Source organism: Homo sapiens, chromosome X (assembly GCF_000001405.40).
Source record: "Homo sapiens chromosome X, GRCh38.p14 Primary Assembly".
Classification (NCBI taxonomy): Eukaryota; Metazoa; Chordata; class Mammalia; order Primates; family Hominidae; genus Homo; species Homo sapiens.
In genome coordinates this window covers 79,118,636-79,141,623 of record NC_000023.11, presented here as the reverse complement: position 1 = coordinate 79,141,623, position 22,988 = coordinate 79,118,636, and the positions used below count along the sequence as shown (strand labels likewise).

The window sequence follows — 22,988 nt, the reverse complement described above, 5'->3', positions numbered from 1 at the left end:
ACATTTTGACTCATTTAGATCTTCTTAAAAGATCTAGAAAAAGAAAAAGAAAAAAGAAAAAGGTTAAGCCTTCTTAAATTAAGAATAGAGACCCAAATAATTCTTTTATTCTTTCCCCATAGAGCAACTCCAAAATATAAAATATATTAAAGTGGAAGCAAAGTAAAAGTTTCAGCTCTTAATATTGGTTTGAGGAGATAATTTCCTTTATAATGAATGTTTCATTATTATTTAATGTTTACCTTGTGATTCTAAAATTACTAGGTCTCAAGTTGGCTTCTTTGTTATACTGTAAATAAAAGATTACATGGTACAGTATAGATTATGATTAATGTAGTTTTTCTAAACATTCATACCATCAGGCCTACAATTTTAAATACAAGGGATCCTCCCATTCCAAGAATTTTTAATATTTTTAATAGTTATGATTTAATCATGACTAAAATTTATTTAGCATTCTATAATATGCAATGTGCTTTATGTCTGGCCTTGCAATTGCATAGAATTAACTAATCAACATCAATAAAATATAAGAGTGCTACAATTAAAGGATTAAAAAACATTTTAAAAATCAGTTATTCAAATTATTTTGGGGTGGGAGTTATGAGTTAAAGTACTAATTATATTCATTCCTTGTTTAAGTAAAATACTTTTTTATGAATGACAAAGGTATTTTATGACCTGAGAGTTGGCAATGTGCCAGGCATTGTGTTTGATATGAATGTGTTTTACAATCATTATTTTATTTATTCATCAAAACAACTCCATATTTTAGGTTTAATTCTGACTCAATTTTATAGTTGAAAAAACAGGCTCAGAGATGTTAAGTAACTTTCCCCAAATTACACAACTTTGATAGTCAAAAAAAAAATGCTCAGTATGGATTTGGAGTTGTGAAATTAAGGAGATTTCAAGCCGAAGAACTTCACTGCCGATTCTCAGGTTATAGTGATACCTTTGGCAAAGTACAATACTGCAACTGAATTTTATTAATCTTTATTATTTTAAAAATCAGAAAATAAAGGAAGAACTTATTAATATAGATTCAGCAAATTCACAGGGCTAAGAGAAAAATCCCGTCTTGGGATGATGGGGTTATGGCAGCATTAGAGAGATCGTATATTTCTCAGTACCCCAATTTCAAGCAGTTACAGGGTCGACCACCTGGTTAACTCCCTCCTACCTTGCCAGAGTTTTCCGTTCTATCTGCTACCAGTATGTTTTGTTTTCCCTTAGGGGATAGTCTCTGAATTGATTACAGAATATGGTGGGAAACAGAATTTATTTTGCAGAAATATACTGAGTCTAGGAACAAAGTGAAGGGGAATGAGTGGAAAGTGGTTTCTTTACCAGATAAAAGCTCCAGCGTCCAAATGCAAAATGCTACTTTACTCAAGATCATGACTGTTTGCAAAACAAATGTAGTAAATTTTAACTTGTTAATTTAATTTCTATTTTTATGCATAAGATAAAGGAAGGAATAAATGGTTCAAAATACAGTGCCCAAAATAAAAATTAATGATGTGATTGTATGTTAGGGCAAGTATGCAGCCTGAAAGGAACCTAATTTATTATTGGAAAAATGTCCAGAATACATTATACTAAAAATTATAGTTTAGGTGCAAATGAACACTGGATTTTCCAATCAAAAGTAACACTCGGGAATAGAGCAAAGGAGTGTTGTTTGGATCTACATAGTAAGACAAGAATCCAAGCCAGGAGTGGTTTTATTTTTATTGATTTTAAGTCCTTACAATTAGCAATAAGCAGAACTTGGTGACAGGAGATTCAGCTGGGGCCCACAAAAGTCACTTTATACAGCCTGCATTCCTGTATGCACATGTGGACAAGGCCCTATAGAGAAAGAAACACTGTTATGAATAGATAGAGTGGAAGGTCATCTATCACACACAATAAAATACTCAATGCAAGTGTTATAACCCACAAAAACCCACTCACATACCTGCCACTGGTTTGAAAAGCTAATATTTCAAGTGTGTTCTTTTTGGCTATTCCCCTTCTGTGCCCTTTTTGCAGAAGTAAACTCTGTGGGGAAGGGTAAATGTGTAGCCTCAAATTCCTCATTAAGGTTTTATTTTATTAGGAGTTAGTGTAACTTTATCAGGTAAATCCACTCTCAGTAGAGACCCTGGCAATTTCAGTACAATTAACAAGAAAGGAATACTAAAGAGAAATGAGAAGAGTATGGAAAAGTATTTACCACACAATTTTGTCTTAAGTCAAACATGCTGACCACATTAGAGACTTGTGGAATATTGGAAGTAAAAGGATTCTTAGACATCTTACTGGGCATAGATTTTTACTGGTGAGCCATGCATAGACTTCAGACGGTCCTTGAATCCCTGAAAGCATTTATGAAATCTTGTTTGCACTCTTACACACATTTTTCTTAAGAGAAAGTTCATAGTTTTAATCAGATTCTTAAAGGAGTCTGGGACCAAAAACATGTTAAGAATCACTGGACTAATGAACATTGCCACCTCAGACTCTCTGCTATCAGGAAGTGCAACCTGGCAGGAAGGGCCCAGCATAAGGGTTTATCAGATAGTAACCCCCCGAATGGTTACAAACCGCTGATCTGTCCAACTTCCTCATTTTACAGGTGATGAAATTGAAGCCCAGTGAGTTACAAACCTTGTCCAAATATGGCATAATCAGAGTTAGTTCAGTGTTAATTATTTTGAGAGATGAACTCTGATATGTACATCTTTCTAATTGCCTTGATATTTCTTCTGAGAGTCACCGTAGGTGCTAAAGTGAGTACTTCTTGTTTTAGATACAGGCTTATGCTGGTACTTTCAGATCTGAGTAAAGGCAGGAGAGGAAGGGTGATAAAAAAAGGAAAGAAAATATTGACTACATTGGCTGTATCCATGATATTTAATGTAATTTTAAGCTTAAAAAATCTCAAATTGTACAAAAATGTTTGAGTGTGTGTGTGCATATGTGTGTGAAAGAGAAACTCTGTGTATGTATTTTACTAAAAAAAGTTCTATTGCTACCATAACCTTCTTTATAGTACATGACCCAAAAAAAGTTAGAAATTACTGACCTTATTTTAAGATAACTAAGGCCCAGAGAGAAGACACCTGCTCATTTTCTATAGCTTGGAAGTGGAAAAGCCAAGACTAGAACCCAATCTCTCAAATTTGCTTTGGTGGTATTTATGTTGTCCCAGACAGTCTCTTTCTTCACTACCGTATCTCTCTAAATAGTATACATTTTGGTCTTTCCCCTATTTAATATTTGGGAAAGGATCTGATCAGATGTCCTTAAGACTAGAGACACCATTGACAAAATACAGAAAGGAGTTTTTAAATAATAAAGGATTTTCAAATAAGGAATATTTTAAAGGGGCTTATTTTAAAAGCCCTTTCTGTATTTAGTCTATGGTGTCTCTAGTCCTTTCTGTTCAAGGAAGCCTTTTGAGCTCTAAATCATTCCGCTGATATATTTTCAAATGACTCTAGCCACTATTGCTGGGGTAAAATGTTTAAGCTACATAGGTTAGGTTTTTAATTATAGACACTCTAAAATGAACTCTATTTAATTTAGACAGAAAATGATTAATTAAAGATTATTAGATAAATCAGCAAATCTCTAGGAGAGACAAAGAACCAAGCTTAAATGCCACACAGACAGGAACAACTTAGCCAAGGTCAATGCCCAGTCATACCATGAGAGTATTCTAGCAACAACACTGGTATGGTCAATATCCACCACTCAATACTTATGACATTTGGGAATGCATGTGACAGTTTTCCCAGATTCTCTAAAGGAATGAAATGCCTCAGTCATAATTCTTTCCAGAATATTCAATCTTCCCATAATGGCTCCAGCCTCATATTGCTTTCTTCCATCTCCAGGTATCATAAATATTTCTTCACTTGACCAAACCTGAGTCACTTGTTGTATGTCAGATGCATATATATATATATATATATATGCGTATATATACATATACGTTTATATATATATACATATATATGTATATATATGTATATATATATAGTTTATGTCCATGTAATGTAGATTTTAGTTTTTCTGACTTAATAGTACAAGAAGCCAACTTAGGTGTTGAAATGAGTGTTGGGGACCCAATATAGAATGTTTTCCATGAGAGCTAAGATTGGTCAACTCTGTTTTACATTGCAGCATGTAACAGGAGCTGGGATTAGTGGGAGAATAAGAAAATCATTCAAGAAAGAATTTAAAATCAAAATTGACTTGTTGAGAACCCTAGGGAACTCCCAAACCATCTACCTTCATAGTGAATTAGTCTGATAGAAAACTTTTTGGAATTTTAGCTTAAACTTAATAGGATTAATAAAATAAATATCCAAAAAGGTAAAATAACTTAAAGCCATGTCTGCAGTCCTTAAATTGGAATATCTGTTTTTTTAATAATTGTCTGTACTTCTGCATGTGCCCATAAAGAATTGATTGTGTCAGTGGGGCATGGTGGCTCACGCCTGTAATCCCAGCACTTTGGGATGCCGAGGTGGGCGGATCACGAGGTCAAGAGATGGAGACCATCCTGGCCAACATGGTGAAACCCTGTCTCTACTAAAATTACAAAAATTAGCTCAGCGTGGTGGGGCATGCCTGTAGTCCCAGCTACTCAGGAGGCTGAGGCAGGAGAATCACTTGAACCTAGGAGGCAGAGGCAGAGGTTGCAGTGAGCTGAGATAGTGGCACTACACTCCAGCCTGGTGACAGAGCGAGACTACATCTCAAAACAAACAAACAAACAATTAAAAACAAAACAACAACAACAACAAAACAGAATTGGCTATGTCAGGAATGTAAAAGATGAAAGAGGCAGAACCCCACCAACTCACGAATGCCTGCCTGGTCCTGTTTCAAAAGCACAGTGAGGTAAAAATAAATTAACAGAGGAAATAGAATGGGGATAGATAATTAGGGGCTATGTATGAAGGGAATACAAAAAGACTGAGAATTGCGGAAAAAGGAAGAAGAAAAGATGAATTAATGGTGGAGATGGTGAACAGACCCATTTTAGCCAGAGTGAAGAATAAGAGAGGTTCATAGGCAACATTCTCTGTATATGTGCAGAACTCTAAAAAGGGACAGATATTCTTGGATGACCAAGGAGGTAGAGCTGACTGTAGGCTACAGTGTATTGATTTTTCTGCCTTGTACCCTAGCTCTGACTTAAAGGGGCAGAGGTCAGTAGATTTCAAAGATGCTTTTTTTGGGACATACGGAGGTGAAGTATTTCATAGGTATAGTCTCCATATATTACTTAAATACAGTAGAAAATCAAGATTGATCAGGAATAAGCAATTCTTCCTTGGGTTAGAGAACTGGACTAAGTTGCTTCTATTGCTCCCTTCTAATCTCAAGGGTTTGCTGAAGCTCCTTTTTTTGGGGAAAAGGAAATTAATTTGAAACTCTCTATTAGAGTAAAATAATCACTCCCAAAATAGCTATTTATATTTCAAGTTTTATGTGCACATCACCAGTCTCCAACTTTAAAATCTGGAATGCACCTACATGTTTTGAGCACATTTTCCCAGTGTTTTTGCTTTGGAAATTATACTCAGCAAGAGATGATATCTTTGATGTTGACCTGCTTTCTAATTTTTATTAGATCAAAGCTACTTGAAACCATTTATCAACATTTATTAGCATTTACCATTTTATTTTTGCTTCCCATCACGTATTAAACAAAGGTCATGTCTAGAGACCTAGACAGAGCACAAACTCAGTTCTTTTCTGTTAGCCCAACAAGATGCTAGTCCCACAGTAGTAACTAAGATGCTTCCCTTACCCCATGTAGGAAATAGCTGAGTCCATGGTTTCCCATCCCAAAAGGCCATGCTTTCTGTCAAGTTATTAATCAGCTATTCAATAGGGGAACCCCAAACCATCTGCCACTTTCTGGAGCCTCCCCATGTATCCATCTCATCACTGTTCTTTTTGTTCTGTTTTCTATATGTCTTCTGTGAGAGAAAAAAATAGTAGGCACTCTAATTCACAGGGATTATTATTACATTGACCCAGTCATCCTTTGCCCAACCCCAGATTTCAGTCAGGACTCTTTCATATGCAAGTGATTGAAATCCAATTCAAATTGAGTTTACCAAACAAAAATGTGTAGGCTCATCTACCTAAGAATTTCAGGACTTCAAGCATTGCTGGATTCATGTGCTCAAACAATGAAAACTGAAGTATGTTTCTTGTCATATCTTGTCTCTTATTTCCTCTGTCCAATAACCCTACAAGATAGAGCAGATTACTGTACTCTCTGTATACATGAGGAAAATTAAGCACAAAGCATTTAAATACTTAGAGGATTGTTCAAGGTTATAGCTAAGTAAGGTATGTATTAGATACCTTCCATGTTTTCAGACCTACATTGTATTCCAGTTGTTGCTGGAGCAACCAGCTGCACACAGATATAAGCTGACAACACTATGTCTCAATTATACCATGGGTCTCACTTTTTGCCTCAGTATTTCTCTGTGCTACAAGAAAGGCCTACCAACAAACTTGGAACTGTGATGGAGCTTTGGTAAGTTGTATCATTGCAGATCCAGCAGGATCTTAACAAGGGCTGGCTACGGTAAAATGGACTTTAAATGGGAAAAGTGTCTTGCTTGACTCTCATATCAAAAAAAAAAAAGTGAACGATCACTTAAAGAACAGGAGAGATGTGGGTAAGCAGTATCGCATGTAGAAAAGATTAAGTAATTACAGCTGACTCTTAGCTCAAGCTCAGTGAAAAATGATCAATAGCCACCAAAACCCACAAAAAACTAAATATTACCTTAGTGTGTATTAATGAAAATAAACTGTCTAGAACAGTGGAGGTAACAGTTCTATTCTACTCTGAGATAGTCAGACCACTCCTAAAATAGCTTTATGAAGTTCAGGCAGCTATACTTCAGGAGAGAATACAATAAGAAAGCATCAAAAATGGTTTAAAAAAAGTCTTTACAAGATAAAATAGAGAAAAAACTGAGGATGTTTAGTGTGTAGAAGAGAAGAATATGGGAGTTTTGAATGGAGCATGTCATAATTACCTATAAATAATTAAGTGTCTGTTAGACTGTTAGACAAAATAATAATAACATCTTATTGAGTAAGTACTATGCACCAGCTACAGAGCCAAGTCCCTTAATGTGAGCAGATTTATCAACACAATCCTAAAGGGAAGAATTAGAAGCTGTGTATACAAACTCCCAAAAGACATATACTTGCTGAATGTAAGAAAGATCACTCAAATTATTATTTTTGTCAAAAGCTATTAATAACAAGGACAGCATAGGTGAGCAAATACTTTTCCTTCTCATGAACATATGAAAACAGAAGCTAGAGTATTTATGATTGGGATTGCTATGGACTGAATTGTGTGTCCCTCCCCCTAATTCATTATGTCGAAGCACTAACCCTCAATGTGACTGTATTTGGAGGTGGGGCCTTAGAGGATGTGAAAAAAGTTAAATGAGATCATAAGGGTGGGGTCCTAATGTGAAACAGCTGGTCGCCTCATAATAAAAGGAAGAGGCACCAGAGTTTGCTTGCCTGCTCTCTCTCGTTCGCTTTCTCTCTCTCTCTCTCTTCCGTGTGATGACATGGTAAGAAGGTAACAACCTGCAAGCCAGGAAGAAAGCCCTCATCAGAAAATGAACCCTGCTGGGACATTGATATTGGACTTGCCAGCCTCCAGAACTTTGAGAGAATCCACTTCTGTTGTTTAAGCCACCCAGCCTATGGTATTTTGCTGTGGCAGCCTGAGCAGACTAAAATAGCAATATCATAGAGAGATTTAAGTAAAGGAAGAAAATTTAGGCTACATCAAATTCTCAAAATGTTTGAAAAATCTCTGGGGGATCCACAAAGGCAGGACTCCAGGCCATCAACTCAATGGGTTCCATGTTAAAATGTTTTACACAGACAATTTTTATGTAATATTTTATTTGAATAAATAATTTGAATAATTTTAAACTATTTGAAAAAATAGTTGAATTTATTAATCTTTTTTATCCTTTCCAAACTTGAAATCATATGGTCATATAGCACAGTGGCTAAAATTAAAGTGTCTAGAGTTCTACTTGTATTCCAAACTTGGTTCTGCTACTCATTAGCTCTTTGATCTTGGACAGACAATTTAACACCTCATTGCCTTATTGTCCTCATTCGTAAAATGTAGATAACATAGAATCTACTTTAAGGAGATGTCATAAGGTATAAGCAAGTTAATATAAACAAAGCACTTAGGAAACTTTTAATACATGTTACTTATTATTAACATTATTGTGTGAAAAGCTACCATATTAGTGTGTAGGAATTTACAAATTCACTCTGATTGTGATTACATAGTTTCTCATTCTTCAGTTATCCATCACTAATATAATCTCTTTGCTACCATATACAGAGATCTCATCACCTTCCTTCTGAAAAGGACAAGACATGCATTTCAGTAGCATATGACTGTGAAGGAACTAAAATAGCTAGTAATTCTAATGCTGGATGTATCTTTATTGGGGAAAAGTAAGAAAATCTACTTTGCTTCACTTTCTTTCTATATTTGTATATATTCACCAGTGTGATGTGTCTTAGAAAGGACTAAAGAATTCCCTTCAAACCATTGTCCTATCCCTGCCTATTATTCTTTCCTGTCCCACTAATTGGAATTCTACTACTTCGGTCAGGAACTGTTAAAGTATGACATGCAGGCCAAATCTTGCCTTTATATACCATAAATAATCTGTTTAGAGTATACAGTTCAATTATGTTTACAATATTTACAGAGTGATGCAACTATCATGATAATGAAATTTTGGAACATGCACAGAAGGCTAAAAATAAACCATAAGTAGTCACTCCCTATTCCCCTCACCTTCCCACTCCTGGACAACAACTAATATACTCTGTCTTTATAGACTTGTTTTTCCATTCTGAACATTCCATGTAAATAGAATCATACCATATGTTGCCTTTCTGTGACTGAATTATTTCACTTTTGTAATGTTTTCAAGGTTCATCCACATTGTGTCATGTATCAGTACTTCGATATTTTTGTTGCTTAATAATATTCCATTGTATGGATAAACCATATTTCATTAAATCATTTGTCAGTGTATGGACATTTGAATTGTTTTCACTTCTGAATTATTATGAATAAAGCTGCTGTGTTAGGCCATTTTTGCATTCCTATAAATGAATACCTGAGGCTGGGTTATTTATAAAGAAAAGAGATTTCTTTGGATCATGGTTCCTCAGACAGGACAAGAAGCATGGTGCCAGCATCTGCTTCTGGTGAGGGCCTTGGGAAGTTTATAATCATGGCAGAAGGTGAAGGGGGAACAGGTTTCTCATATGGAAAGAATAAGAGCAAGGGTCGGGGGAGGTGCCACACACTTTTAAACAAGCAAATCCCAAGTGAACTCATTTATCACCCAGGGGACGGTGCTAAGCTACTCATGAGGGATACACCCCCATTATCCAAACACCTCACACCAGGCCCTACCTCCAACACTTGGGATTATATTTCAACATGAGATTTGGAGGGGACAAATATCCGAACCATATAATTCCACCCCTGGCCTCCCAAATCTCATGTCCTTCTCACATTGCAAACTACAACAATCCTTTACCAACAGTGCCCCCAAAGTCCTAACTTGTTCCAATGTCAAGTATAAAGCCTAAGTCTCATCTGAGAATGATCCGCTTCCACCTATGAGCCTGTAAAATCAATACAAGATTTTTACTTCCAAGATACAATGGTGATATTGGCATTGGATAAACATTTCCATATCAAAAGGGAGAAATCAGTCTAAAGAAAGGGGCAATAGACCCCATGCAAGTCCTAAATCCAGCAAGGCAGTCATTAAATCCTAAAGCTCCAACATAATCCTTGACTCCAGACTGCATCCCTTGTTAGATTTGAGTGTCTGTGGCTTTTAGAGGCAGAGGGTGCAAGGTTCTGGTGAATCTACCATTCTGGGGTCTGCAGGACAGTGACCCCCTTCCCACAACTCCACTAGGCAGTGCCCTGGTGGGTAGTCTCTGTGGGGGCTCCAGCCTCAAATTTATCTCCAACCTATGAGAGCACAACAAGGGCTTCAGCCTGCAAAGCTACAGAGGCGAAGCTGCCCAAGGCCTTGGGATCCCACCCATTGCACTAGTGTGTCCTAGATGTGGGACATGGAGTCAAGGATTATGCTGGAGCTTTAAGATTTAATGGGTGTCATGCCGGGTTTAGTATTTCTGTCATTGCTTCACCTCTGTGGCAGGCTTCTGCCTGAGCACCCAGGCTTTCTGATACATTTTCTGAAATATAGGTGGAAGCTACCACGGTTCCTTCATACTTGCATTCTGAGCATCTGCACACTTAACACTACGTGGAAGCCACTAAGGCTTATGGCTTGTGCCCTCTAAAGCAGTGTCCTGAGCTGTACCTTGGGCATTTTGAGCTATGGCTGAAGCTGGAGCAGCAGGGATACAGGGTGCAGCCTCCTGAGGTGATGCCCCAGGCCTGTTCAACAAAACTATTCTTTTCTCCTAAGCCTCTGGGTCTATGATGGGAGGAGTTGCCTCACAGATCTCTGAAATGCATTTGAGGCCCTTATCCCATTGTCTTGGCTATCAGCACTTGGATGTTTTTGTTATGCTGATCTCTCTAGCAAGTGGTTGCTTCACAATATACTTAGACTCTTCTCCTGAAAACAGCCTTTTTTTTTTCCTACCACATGGCTAGACTGCAAATTTTCCAAACTTTTGTGCTCTGCTTCCCTGTTAAATAGAAGCTCCAAATTTAAGTTATTTTTTGCTCCCACATCTGAGCTGAGACTGTTACAAGCAGTTAGACCACATCTTGAAAGTTTTACTGCTTAGAAATTTATTCTACCAGACACCCTAACTCATCACTCTTTTTTTTTTTTTTGGAGATGGAGTCTCGCTCTGTCGCCCAGGCTGGAGTGCAGTGGGGCTATCTCGGCTCACTGCAAGCTCCGCCTCCTGGGTTCACGCCATTCTCCTGCCTCAGCCTCCCTCCCGAGTAGCTGGGACTACAGGCGCCCGCCACCGCGCCCGGCTAATTTTTTGTATTTTTAGTAGAGACGGGGTTTCACCGTGTTAGCCAGGATGGTCTCGATCTCCTGACCTCGTGATCCGCCCGCCTCGGCCTCCCGAAGTGCTGGGATTACAGGCGTGAGCCACTGCGCCCGGCTTCTCATCACTCTTAAGTTCAATTTTCCACAGATCCCTAGGGCATGGACAACAGTGCAGCCAAAATCTTTGCTAAGGCATAATAAAGGTGATCTTTGCTCCAATTCCTAGTAAGTTTCTCATTTCCATCTGAGACCTCATCAGCTTGGACTTCACTGTCGATCGACTGTCACCATTTTGATCACAACCATTTGACCAGTCTCTAAGATGTCCCAAACTTTCCCTCAGCTTCCTGTATCCTTCTCAGCCCTCCAAACTTTTCGAACTGCAGCCCTTTACCCAGTTCCAAAGCCACTTCCACATTTTCAGTTATCCTCATAGCAACATTCCACTCCTGGTACAAATGTTCTGTGTTAGGACATTTTTGAGTTGTAATAAAGAGATACTACAGACTGGATAATTTATAAAGAAAAGAGGTTTCATTGGCTCACGGTTCTACAGATAATAAAAGAAGTGTGGTGCCAGCATCTGCTTCTGGTGAGGGCTTCAGGAAGCTTACAAGCTTGGGGGAAGGCAAAGGCGGAGCAGGCATCTCATATGATGAGAGCAGGACCAAGAGAGAGAGTGGGATGGTACACCACACACTTTTAAACAACCAGACCTTGAGTGAACTCACTCATCACCAAGGGGATGACACTAAACCATTTGTAAGGGATACACCCCCATGATTCAAGCACCTTCCACCAGGCCCCACCTCCAACACTAGAAATTACATTTTAACATGAGATTTTTAAGGGACAAATATTCAAACCATATCAGCTGCTATAAACATTTATTTGTGTATGAGTTTTTACATGACTACGTTTTCAATCACTTAATGATGGGAAAATGTTCTCAGAAATATGTCCTTAGGCGATTTCATCGTTGTGCAAAACTCATGAAGTGTACTTACACAAACCTAGATGGTATATCCTACTACACAACTAGGCTATATGGCATAATCTATTGCTCTTAGGCTACAAACCTGTACAGCATGTTACTGTGCTCAATACTGTAGGCAATTGTAATGCAATGGAGAGTATCTGTGTATCTAAACATAGAAAAGGTACAGTAAAAATATGGTATAAAAGATGGCACGCCTCTATAGGGCACTTACCATTCATAGAACTTGAAGGAGTAGAAGTTGCTCTGGGTGAGTCAGTTGGTGATAAGTGAATGTGAAGGCCTAGGACTTTATCATACACTACTGTAGTTTATATAAACTGTATATTTAGGCTACACTAAATGTATTCAAAATATTTTTTTCTTCAATAAGTTAACCTTAACTTACTGTAACCTTTTTACTTTACAGACTTTTTAATTTTTAAACATTTCGACTGTTTTGTAATAACACTTGGTTTAAAATACGAACACTTTGTACAGCTATACAAAAGTATTTTCTTTCTTTATGTACTTTGTCTATAGGCTTTTTTTCTATTTTTTTTTTTTTTTTACTTTTCAAACTTTTGTTAAAAACTAAAGTCACAAAACATGCACATTAGCCTAGACCTCCAAAAGGTCGAGATCATTAATATCATTGTCTTCCACCTCCACCTCTTGTCCCACTGGAAGATCTTTAGGGACAATAACATGCAGGGAGCTGTCATCTCCTATGATAACAATGTCTTCTTCTGGAATACCTCCTGAAGTACCTGCGTGAAGCTGTCTTACAGTTAATCATTTTTATAAGTAGAAATATATGCTAAAATAAAGACAGTATATACATCCTAAAATGAGTAGAATATATACATAAATCATAAAATAGTCATGTGTTATAATTATTAAATATTATGTAATTTACATAATTGTATGTGCTATACTTTTATATGACTGGCAGAGCAGTAGGTTTGTTTACACTAGATCACTCAAAACATATGAGTAATGCATTGCACTATGATGTTTTGATGCCTATAATGTCACCAGGTGATAGGAATTTTTAGCTCTGTTATAACTTTATGAGAATACATTCATATATCTTGTCTATTGTTGACTGAAATATTATTATGTGGTTCATGACTGTATATACAAAGGTGGAATTGCTGGATCCTATGTGTTAAACCTTTGACCTCTTGAAGAATTGGCAGACTGTTTGCCAAAGTAGCTGCACTAATAAACAATCCCACCAGTAATATATAAGGGATCCAGTTACTCCATATCCTTGTTAACACTTGTTGTCTCTCTTTTGCATTATAATCATCCTAGTGAGGGAGAACAGGTACCTTCTTATGTCTAGATTTGCATTTTCCCCAGTGGCTAGTGATGATACTGAGCATCTTCATATGGGTATTGGCTATTTGTTTATCTGCATTACAGAAATGTCTATTAATGTTCTTTACCAACTTTTTATTCATTTACTTGTCTTTTTCTATTAAATTATAAGAGTTCTTTATATATTCTGGATAAAAGACATGTAGGAGATATATAATTTGTAAATGTGTCCCCCCAGTGTATGAATTATCTTTTCATTTTCTTGATTGTGCCCCTTGAAATATAAAGATTTTTCATTCTGATAAAGTCCAACTTGTCAGTGTTCTCTTCTATCATTTATACCTTCCTCTGTTGTAACCAAGAAGATATTGTCTAAACCAAAAACATAATATATTGCTATGCTTTCTGCTAAGATTTTTATATGTTACCTATTACATTTAGGTCTATGATCCATTTTTATTTCATTTGTTTATATCTCATACTTTTACATGTAGACATCCAGTTCTCCCAGCACCATTTGTTTAAAAGGGCTATTTTTCTGCAGTAAATTGTCTTTGCCATAGATGTATGGGTTATGTCCAAACTCTCAAACCTATTCCATTGACTAATATATCTATCCCTATGCGAGTGACACATTGTCTTGATGGCTATTGCTTTCTATTAAGTTTTGCAATCTGGAATTGTGATTTCTCCAAATTCATTCTTCATTTTCAAGATCATGGATGACTTTTCTTTATTTAACTTACCTATAATTATTTTCATGATATTTTACAGTTTTCAATGCATTTCTTTGTTAAATTTGCACTTCTTTGTTAAATTTATTCCTAAATTTCTTTATTGTTTTAAATTTTTTACAAATTATTCATATTATATAAATTGTATATAAATGACTATAAGGGAAATTGTATTCTTAATTTCATTTCCAGGTAGTTCATTGCTAGAGCATAGAAGTATAATTGATTTTTGTGTATTGAACTTGTATGAGGCAATCTTGCTGAACTGCTTTCTTAGAACTATTAGAACTATTATTAGCTCTAATAATTTTGTAGTAGATTCCTTTTCTTTGTATAGGTGTTGTCAATTGTGAATATAGTTTTTTAAATTTTTTAAACTTTTATTTTGGGTTTGGAGGTTCAAGTGAAGATTTGTTACATAGATAGACACTTGTCATGGAGGTTTGTTGTACATATTATTTCATCACACAGGTAGTAAGTCCAGTACCTAATACTTATCTTATCTGCTCCTCTCCTTCCTCCAACTCTCAGGTAGAACCCAGTGTCTTTTGTTTCCTTCTTTGTGTTCATAAGTTCTTATCATTTAGCTCCCAATTATAAGTGAGAACATGCGATATTTGGTTTTCTGTTGCTGCATTATTCTGCTAAGGGTAATAGCCTCCAGATCCATCCATGTTCCCGCAAAAGACATGATCTCATTACTGTTTTATGGCTGCATTTCATGTTGTATGTGTACCACATTTTCTTTCTCCAATTTGTCATTGTTGGGCATTTAGGTTGATTTCATTTCTTTGCTACTGTGAATAGTGCTGCAGTGAACATTCACATGTGTGTGTCTTTATGGTAGAATGATTTATACATCCTTCTTTCTAATCTGGATGGCTTTTCTTTCTTTTTTCCTATTTGCTTTGACTAGGACCTCCAGGATAATGTTGAATATAAGTGGTGAGAGTGGACATCCATATCTTGTTCCCAATCTTGGGGGAATGACATTCATACTTTCACCCTTTCATCATGAATATAATTTTAGCTGTGAGTTTTTTATAAATGTTCTTTAACATGTAGAGAAAGTGTTTTCTCCTATTTGGTTGGGAATTTTTGTCTTGGTAAGGTATTGGATTTTGTCAAATGATTTTTCTGTGTCTGTTGAGATGTTTATGTCTTTTTCCCTTCAATCGATATAATATATAACATTGATTTTCAGATGTTAAAACAATCTTCCATCCTGGGATAAATTCTATTTGTTAATAGCTTATAATCCATTTTATATTTTTTTGAATTTCATTTGTGTCTATATTTATAAAGTATATTAGTTAGTTGTTTTATTTTCTTCTGATATCTTCATCTGGCTTTGAATGCAGGGTAATGTTGGCCTCATGGAACGGGTTGGGAAGTGCTTCCTTCACTTCTAATATTTGGAAGACTGGGAAAAGGATTGGTATTTGTTTTTTAAACATTTGATATAATTCACCAGTGAAGCCATGATGTACTGAGCTTTGCTTTGTAAAAAGTTGTTGATTATTTTTATTTTTTATTATTGTTATGATTAATTCATACTCTAAGTTTGTTATATAGGTCTCTGCAGAGTTTCTGTTTCTTCCCAAGTCAGTTCTATAGTTTGTGTCTTGCTAGAAATGTTTCCATTTTATCGAAGTTGTCTAATTTGTTTCTAATTTGCCATAGAGTTGTTAACAGTATGATTTTATAGTCCATTATATTTTCATAATTGATTGCATATTTTATCTGTAATTTTAGTAATTTGAGTCTTCTTTTTTTCTTGATTAGTATACATAAAAGTTTGTCAATTTTTTTAATTTTTTCAAAGAACCAACTTTTAGTTGCATTTATTTTCTCTATTGTTTTCCTATTCTTTCTTTTATTAACTTCTACTCTTATATTTCTAATTTTCTTCCTCCTGATTGCTTTAGGTTTAGTTTGATCTTCTTTTTCACTGCCTTAAGGTGAAATATTAGGTTATTAATTTGAAAATGTTTTTACATGTAAGAGCTTATGGCTATACATTTCCCTCCAAGCACTACTTTAGCTCCATCTCATAAATTTTGGCATGTTTGTGGGGTTGTTGTTTTACCTCTCATTCAACTCCAAGTAATTTCTATTTTTTTCATGTTATTTTTCTCTCCGACCCATTGGTTATTCATGAGTCTGTTGTTTAATTTATACATACTTTTAAATTTACAAAATATTCTGCATTATCTATTTATAATTTGATTCCATTGTGGTCAAAGTGCATACTTTGTATGGTTTCAATAATTTTAAATTCACTATGGCTTGGCTTATGGCCAAGCATAGCTTCATCCTGGAGAATATTCCATGCCCACCTGAAAAAAATAATGTTCTGTGCTATTGTTTGTAGGAATTCTCTATAAATGTCTATTATAGTGTTGCTGACATCTTCTATTTCTTTGTTGATTTTTTTTGCCTAATTCTTTTATCAGTTATTGAAAGGGGAGTATTAAACCCTCCAACCATTATTCTTAAATTACCTATTTCTTCCTTCAATTCTTTCAGTTTATGCGACATGTATTTTACAGTCCTCTTGTTAGATGCAAGCATGTTCACAATTATTTTGGTTTACTGATGAATCGACCCTTTTCATCATTATGAATGTCCTTCTTTATCTTTAGTGACAATATTTATGTTAATGTCTGTTTTGTCTGATCTTAGTGTAACTCTCTAGCTCTTTTTTGGTTAATGACTTCTATGGTATATGTTTTTCCATTCCTTTACTTTCACCCTACTTGTAGCTTTGAACTTAAAGTGTGTTTCCTGTAGACAGAATATACTTGGATATTTTTTCTATTTAATTAAATCTGCCAATCATTTTATTTTGATTAGATAGTTTACTCCATTTAAATTTAATGTTATCATTGATATATTTGGATATTTGTTTGCAACTTACTAATATTTTCCATGTCTCCTGTATTTTGTGTTTCTTTCTTCTTTCAATACTATGTTTTGTATCAAATATTTCTGAATTTACCACTTTAATTATTTTACAGATCCTTAACTATATTTTTAAAGTTATTTGCTTATTGATAGTTCTAGGGCTTAGAATATATATTTTAACTTACCAGAGTCTGCTTTAGATTTATACCATTTCAATTCTAGTAAAATGTAGAAATATTACTCCTACATAGCTTCATTTCTTCTTTTATTTTTTGCATATATATATAACAAATCAATTATACCCAGTTATAATTATTACTTTATATAATCATATTGCTTCTAAAGAAGCTAGAAGCAAGAAGAACACAAATATATTTATAGAGTTTTTAAACAGGTATAATAAACTGCTTTTTTTTTTTTTGAGACGGAGTCTCACTCTGTCACGCAGGCTGGAGTGTAATGGCATGATCTCGGCTCCCTGCAACCTCCACCTCCCAGGTTCAAGCAATTGTCCTGCCTCAGCCTCCCTAGTAGCTGGGACTACAGGCGCACACCACCATACCCAGTTAATTTTTGTATTTTTAGTAGAGACGACGGGGTTTCACCATGTTGACCAAGATGGTCTTGATCTCTTGACCTTGTGATCTGCCTGCCCCAGCCTCCCAAAGTGTTGGGATTACAGGCATAAGCCACTGCACCCCCCAATTAACCTGCTTTTTTTTTTTTAATCATTTCTGTTCTTTTCATTTCTTCCTGTGGATATTTAAAAACGTATTTTTAGATTCAGGGGCACATGTGCATGTTTGTTACATGGGTAAATTGCATACTGGTGGGGATTGGGCTTCTGATGTACCCATAACCCAAATACTTAACACTGTAACAAATAGGTAATTTTTGAACCCTTACCCCTTTCCCTTTCTTCCCATTTTTGAAGTTCCCAGTGTCTATTATTTCCATCTTTCTGTCCATGTGTAACTATTGTTCAGCTCCCACTTATAAGTGAGAACATGCTGTATTTAGTTTTCTACTTCTGAATTTGTTTACTTAGGATAATGACCTACAGCTGCATCCATGTTGCTGCAAAGGACACAATTTCATTTTCTATGGGTGCATAGAATTTCACAGTGTGTATATATCACATTTTCTTTGGCCAGTCAACCATTGATGGGCACTGAGGTTGGTTCCATGATTTTGCTGTTATGAATAGTGTTGCCATCAACACACAAGTACTACTGTCTTTTTGATATAATGATTTGTTTTCCTTTAGGAAGATATCCAGTGGTGCAATTGTTGGGTTAAACAGCACTACTTTTAGTTCTTTGAGAAGTCTATACACTGTTTTCCGTGGAGGTTGAACTCATTTATATTCACACTGACAATGTATATGGTCCCTTTTGTCTGCATCCATGCAAACATCATCTGTTGTTTTTTGACTTTTTAGTAATAGCCATTCTGACTGGTATAAAATAATATCTCATTGTTATTTTAATTTGTGTTTCTCTAATAATTAGCAATACTGAGCATTTTTAAAAGTATTTGTCTGTTCATGTCTTTTGTCCTGTTTTCAATTTTTTTCCTCTTGTTGAATTGTTTGAGTTCCTTGTAGATTTGGGGTATTAGCCTTTTGTCAGAGGCATAATTTGCAAATATTTTCCCCCATTCTATAGGTTTTATGTTTACTCTGTTGATTATTTCTTTTGATGTGCAGAAGCCTTTTAGTTTAATTATGTGCCATTTGTCTATTTTTGTTTCTGTTGCACTAGCTTTTGGGGTCTTTACAATAAATTCTTTGTATTGGCCAATGCCCAGAAGAGTTTTTCCTAGATTGTCTTGTAGGATTTTTATATTTCAGGTCTTACATTCAAGGCATTAAATCATCTTGAGTTAATTTTTGCATATGGTGAGAGATAGTGGTCCAGTTTCATTCTTCTGCAGATAGCAACCCAGTTTTCCCATTACTATTTATTAAATAGAGTGTCTTTTCCCCATTGTTTGTTTGTCAATGTGTCAAAAATCAGTTGGTTTTAGGTGTGTGGTTTTATATTTGGGCTCTTCATTCTATTCCATTGATCAATGCATTTGTTTTTGTACCAGTACCATGTAATTTGAGTTACTATAGCCTTGTAGTATAATTTGAAGCCAGATAGTGTAATGCCTCTGCATATGTTTATTTTGCTTAGGCATGTCTTCACTATCTGAAGTCTTTTTTTGTTTCCATAGAAAACTTAGGATTTTTTTCTAATTCTGTGAAAAATAACATTAGTGGTTTGATAGGGATTGCATTGAAACTGTAGATTGTTTTAAGCAGAATGGTCCTTTTTAACAATATTGATTGCCAATACCAATCAATATTGTTGGCAATACCAATCAATATTGTTGGCAATACCGATCAATATTGTTAAAAAGGAACATTCTGCTTAAAACAATCTACAGTTTCAATGCAATCCCTATCAAATAACTAATGTTATTTTTCATAGAATTAGAAAGAAATCCTCAATTTTATATGGAAACAAAAACACTTCAAATAGTGAAGGCATATAGGCATGGGCAAGGACTTCATGTCTAAAACACCAAAAGCAATGGCAACAAAAGCCAAAATTGACAAATGGGATCTAATTAAACTAAAGAGTTTCTGCACAGCACAAGAAACTACCATCAGAGTGAACAGGCAACCTACAGAATGGGAGAAAATTTTTGCAATCTACTCATCTGACAAAGGGCTAATATCCAGAATCTACAAAGAACTCAAAAAAATTTACAAGAAAAAAACAAACAACCCCATCAAAAAGTGGGCAAAGGATATGAACAGACAGTTCTCAAAAGAAGACATTTATGCAGCCAAAAGACACATGAAAAAATGCTCATCATCACTGGCCATCAGAGAAATGCGAATCAAAACCACTGTGAGATACCATCTCACACCAGTTAGAATGGTGATCATTAAAAAGTCAGGAAATAACAGATGCTGGAAAGGATGTGGAGAAATAGGAACACTTTTACACTGTTGGTGGGACTGTAAACTAGTTCAACCATTGTGGAAGTCAGTGTGGCGATTCCTCAGGGATCTAGAACTAGAAATACCATTTGACCCAGCCATCCCATTACTGGGTATATACCCAAAGGATTATCAATCATGCTGCTATAAAGACACATGCACATGTATGTTTATTGCGGCACTATTCACAATAGCAAAGACTTGGAACCAACCCAAATGTCCAACAATGATAGACTGGATTAAGAAAATGTGGCACATATACACCATGGAATACTATGCAGCCATAAAAAATGATGAGTTCATGTCCTTTGTAGGGACATGGATGAAGCTGGAAACCATCATTCTCAGCAAACTATCACAAGGACAAAAAACCAAACACCGCATGTTCTCACTCATAGGTGGGAATTGAACAATGAGAACATTTAGACACAGGAAGGGGAACATCACACACCAGGGCCTGTTGTGGGGTAGGGTGAGGGGGGAGGGATAGCATTAGGAGATATACCTAATGTTAAATGACAAGTTAATGGGTGCAGCACACCAACATGGCACATGTATACATATGTAATAAACCTGCACGTTGTGCACATGTACCCTAAAACTTAAAGTATAATAAAAGAAAATATATTGATTATTCCAATCAATAAGCCTAATCAATCATCTGCTTGTTCATAAAGCAAGTATCAATAAATTCAAAAATAATCCAAATCATATTAAGTATCTTGTCAGACCACAGTGGAATAAAATTAGAAATCAATGCCAAGAGGAGCTCTCAAATCTACACAAGTAGATGAAAGCAAAACAATTGCTCCCAAATGAACTTTGGGTAAACAATTAAATTGAGGCAGAAATAAATTATTTTTTGAAAACATGAAAATAGGCACAGCATACTAAAACTTCTGAAAAACAGCAAAATCAGTGCTAAGGTAGAAGTTTATAGCATTAAATGCCCACATCAGAAAGATGGAAAGATCTCAAATTAACAACCTAACATCAAACCTCAGGGAACCAGTAAAACAAGAACAATCCAAACCCAAAGCTAGCAGAAGTAAAGAAACAACAAAGATCAAAGCACAACTGAATAAAATTGAGACCAACGAAAGATACAACAAATCAATGAAACACAAAGTTGGTTTTTTGAAAGAATAAATACAATTGATGGGTTACTAGGTAGATTAACCAAGAAAAATCAAGATAAGATTCAAATAAGAACAAAGAAATTTGAAAGAGGACATTACAACTGATACCACAGGAAAACAAAAGATCATCATGGATGCTATGAATACCTATCAACATCAGGACAGCTATGCACACGAACTAGAAAACATAAAGGAATTGAATAAATTCCTGGAAATATACAATCCTCCAAGATTCACCCAGAAAGAAACAGAAATCCTGAACAGACTAATAATGAGTAATGAAATTGAATCAGTAATAAAAACCCTTACAACAAAAAAAGCCCAGGGCCGGGAGTATTCACAGCCAAATGTTACCAGATGTACAAAGAAAGCCTAGTACCAATCCTACTGAAACTATTCCAAAAAAATTAAGGGAGAAGGATTCCTGCCCAACTCATTCTATGAAATCGGTATCACCTTGATACCAAAATCAAACAAGGACACAGCAAAAAAAGAAAACTAAGGGCCAATATCCCTGCTAACATTGATGCAAAAATCTTCAACATAATACTAACTGAATGCAACAGCACATCAAAACTGAATACAAACTGAATGCAACATAATACAAACTGAATACAACTGAATACAAACTGAATGAATACAACAACACATCAAAAAATAATTCATCACAATTGAGTGGGTTTTACTCCAGGGATCCAAGGATGGTACAATATCTGCAAATCAAAAAATGTGATTCATCTCATAAACAGAACTAAAAAGGAAAAAAAAAACATATGATCATCTTAATAGATGCAGAAAAGGCAGTCAATAAAATCCAGTATATTTTCATGACAAAAATTTTCATCAAATTAAACCTTGGAAGAACATATCTCAAAATAATAAGAGCCATCTATGACAAACCAATACTGAATGGGGACAAGTTGCAAGCATTCTCCCTAAGAACTGAAATAAGGCAAGGTTGTCCAGCCTCAAGACTCCTATTAAACATGGTACTGGAAGTACTAGCCAAAGTAGTCAGGAAAGAGAAAAAAATAAAAGGCATCCAAATTTGAAAAGAGGAAATCAAATTATCTATGTTCCCTGATGACATGATCATATACACAGAACATCCTAATGACACCTCCAAAGGCTCCTAGACTTCATAAACACATTTTTGTAAAGTTTCAGGACACAAAATTAACATACAAAAATCAGTAGCATTTCCATGCACCAATAACACTCAAGCTGAGAATCAAATCAAGAACTCAATCCCATTCACTATAGACACACACACACACACACACACACACACACACACACACACACACAAATACCTAGGAATACATTTAACCAAGGAGGTGAAAGATCTCTGTAAGTAGAACTACAAAACACCTGATGGAAGATATAAACGACACAAACAAGTGAAAAACAGCCCATGCTCATGGATTGGAAGAATCAATGTCCTTCCTTTAATTTGAATTATTACTTAAAATAATTTTCTTACTGTCATACAGTTATTCTCAATATCTTAAATAAATATATGTTTATAATCTCTATAATACAATTACATGCATACTGTTTTATGCACTTGCTTTTTAAATTATTTCAGGAAAGGAAATATATATGTAATCATGCTGTCACTTTTGCTTACTCATATAACTGTCTTTATTTAAGTTCTTTGGTTTTATATGTGGATTTGAATTATAATCTAGTATTGCTTTCCTTCAGCCTGAAGAACTTAATTAGTAATTTTTTTCAAGGCATGTCTTCCAGAAAGAAAATATCTGTTTTAGTTTTTCTGGCAATGTTCTTAATTTTTTCTTCATA

The 22,988-nt window shown here is 35.4% G+C and overlaps 2 annotated features.

Moving 5' to 3' along the window:
- Positions 2,563-2,612: a silencer, noted in NCBI's record as "silent region_20910". NCBI's record gives its function as "represses an Ori minimal core promoter by ATAC-STARR-seq in GM12878 lymphoblastoid cells {active_cell/tissue: GM12878}" and the evidence as "EXISTENCE:reporter gene assay evidence [ECO:0000049][PMID:35858748]".
- Positions 10,961-11,622: an enhancer, noted in NCBI's record as "H3K4me1 hESC enhancer chrX:78385499-78386160 (GRCh37/hg19 assembly coordinates)". NCBI's record gives its function as "activates a minimal SCP1, AML or CMV promoter by ChIP-STARR-seq in primed H9 embryonic stem cells {active_cell/tissue: H9 hESC(primed)}" and the evidence as "EXISTENCE:reporter gene assay evidence [ECO:0000049][PMID:30033119]".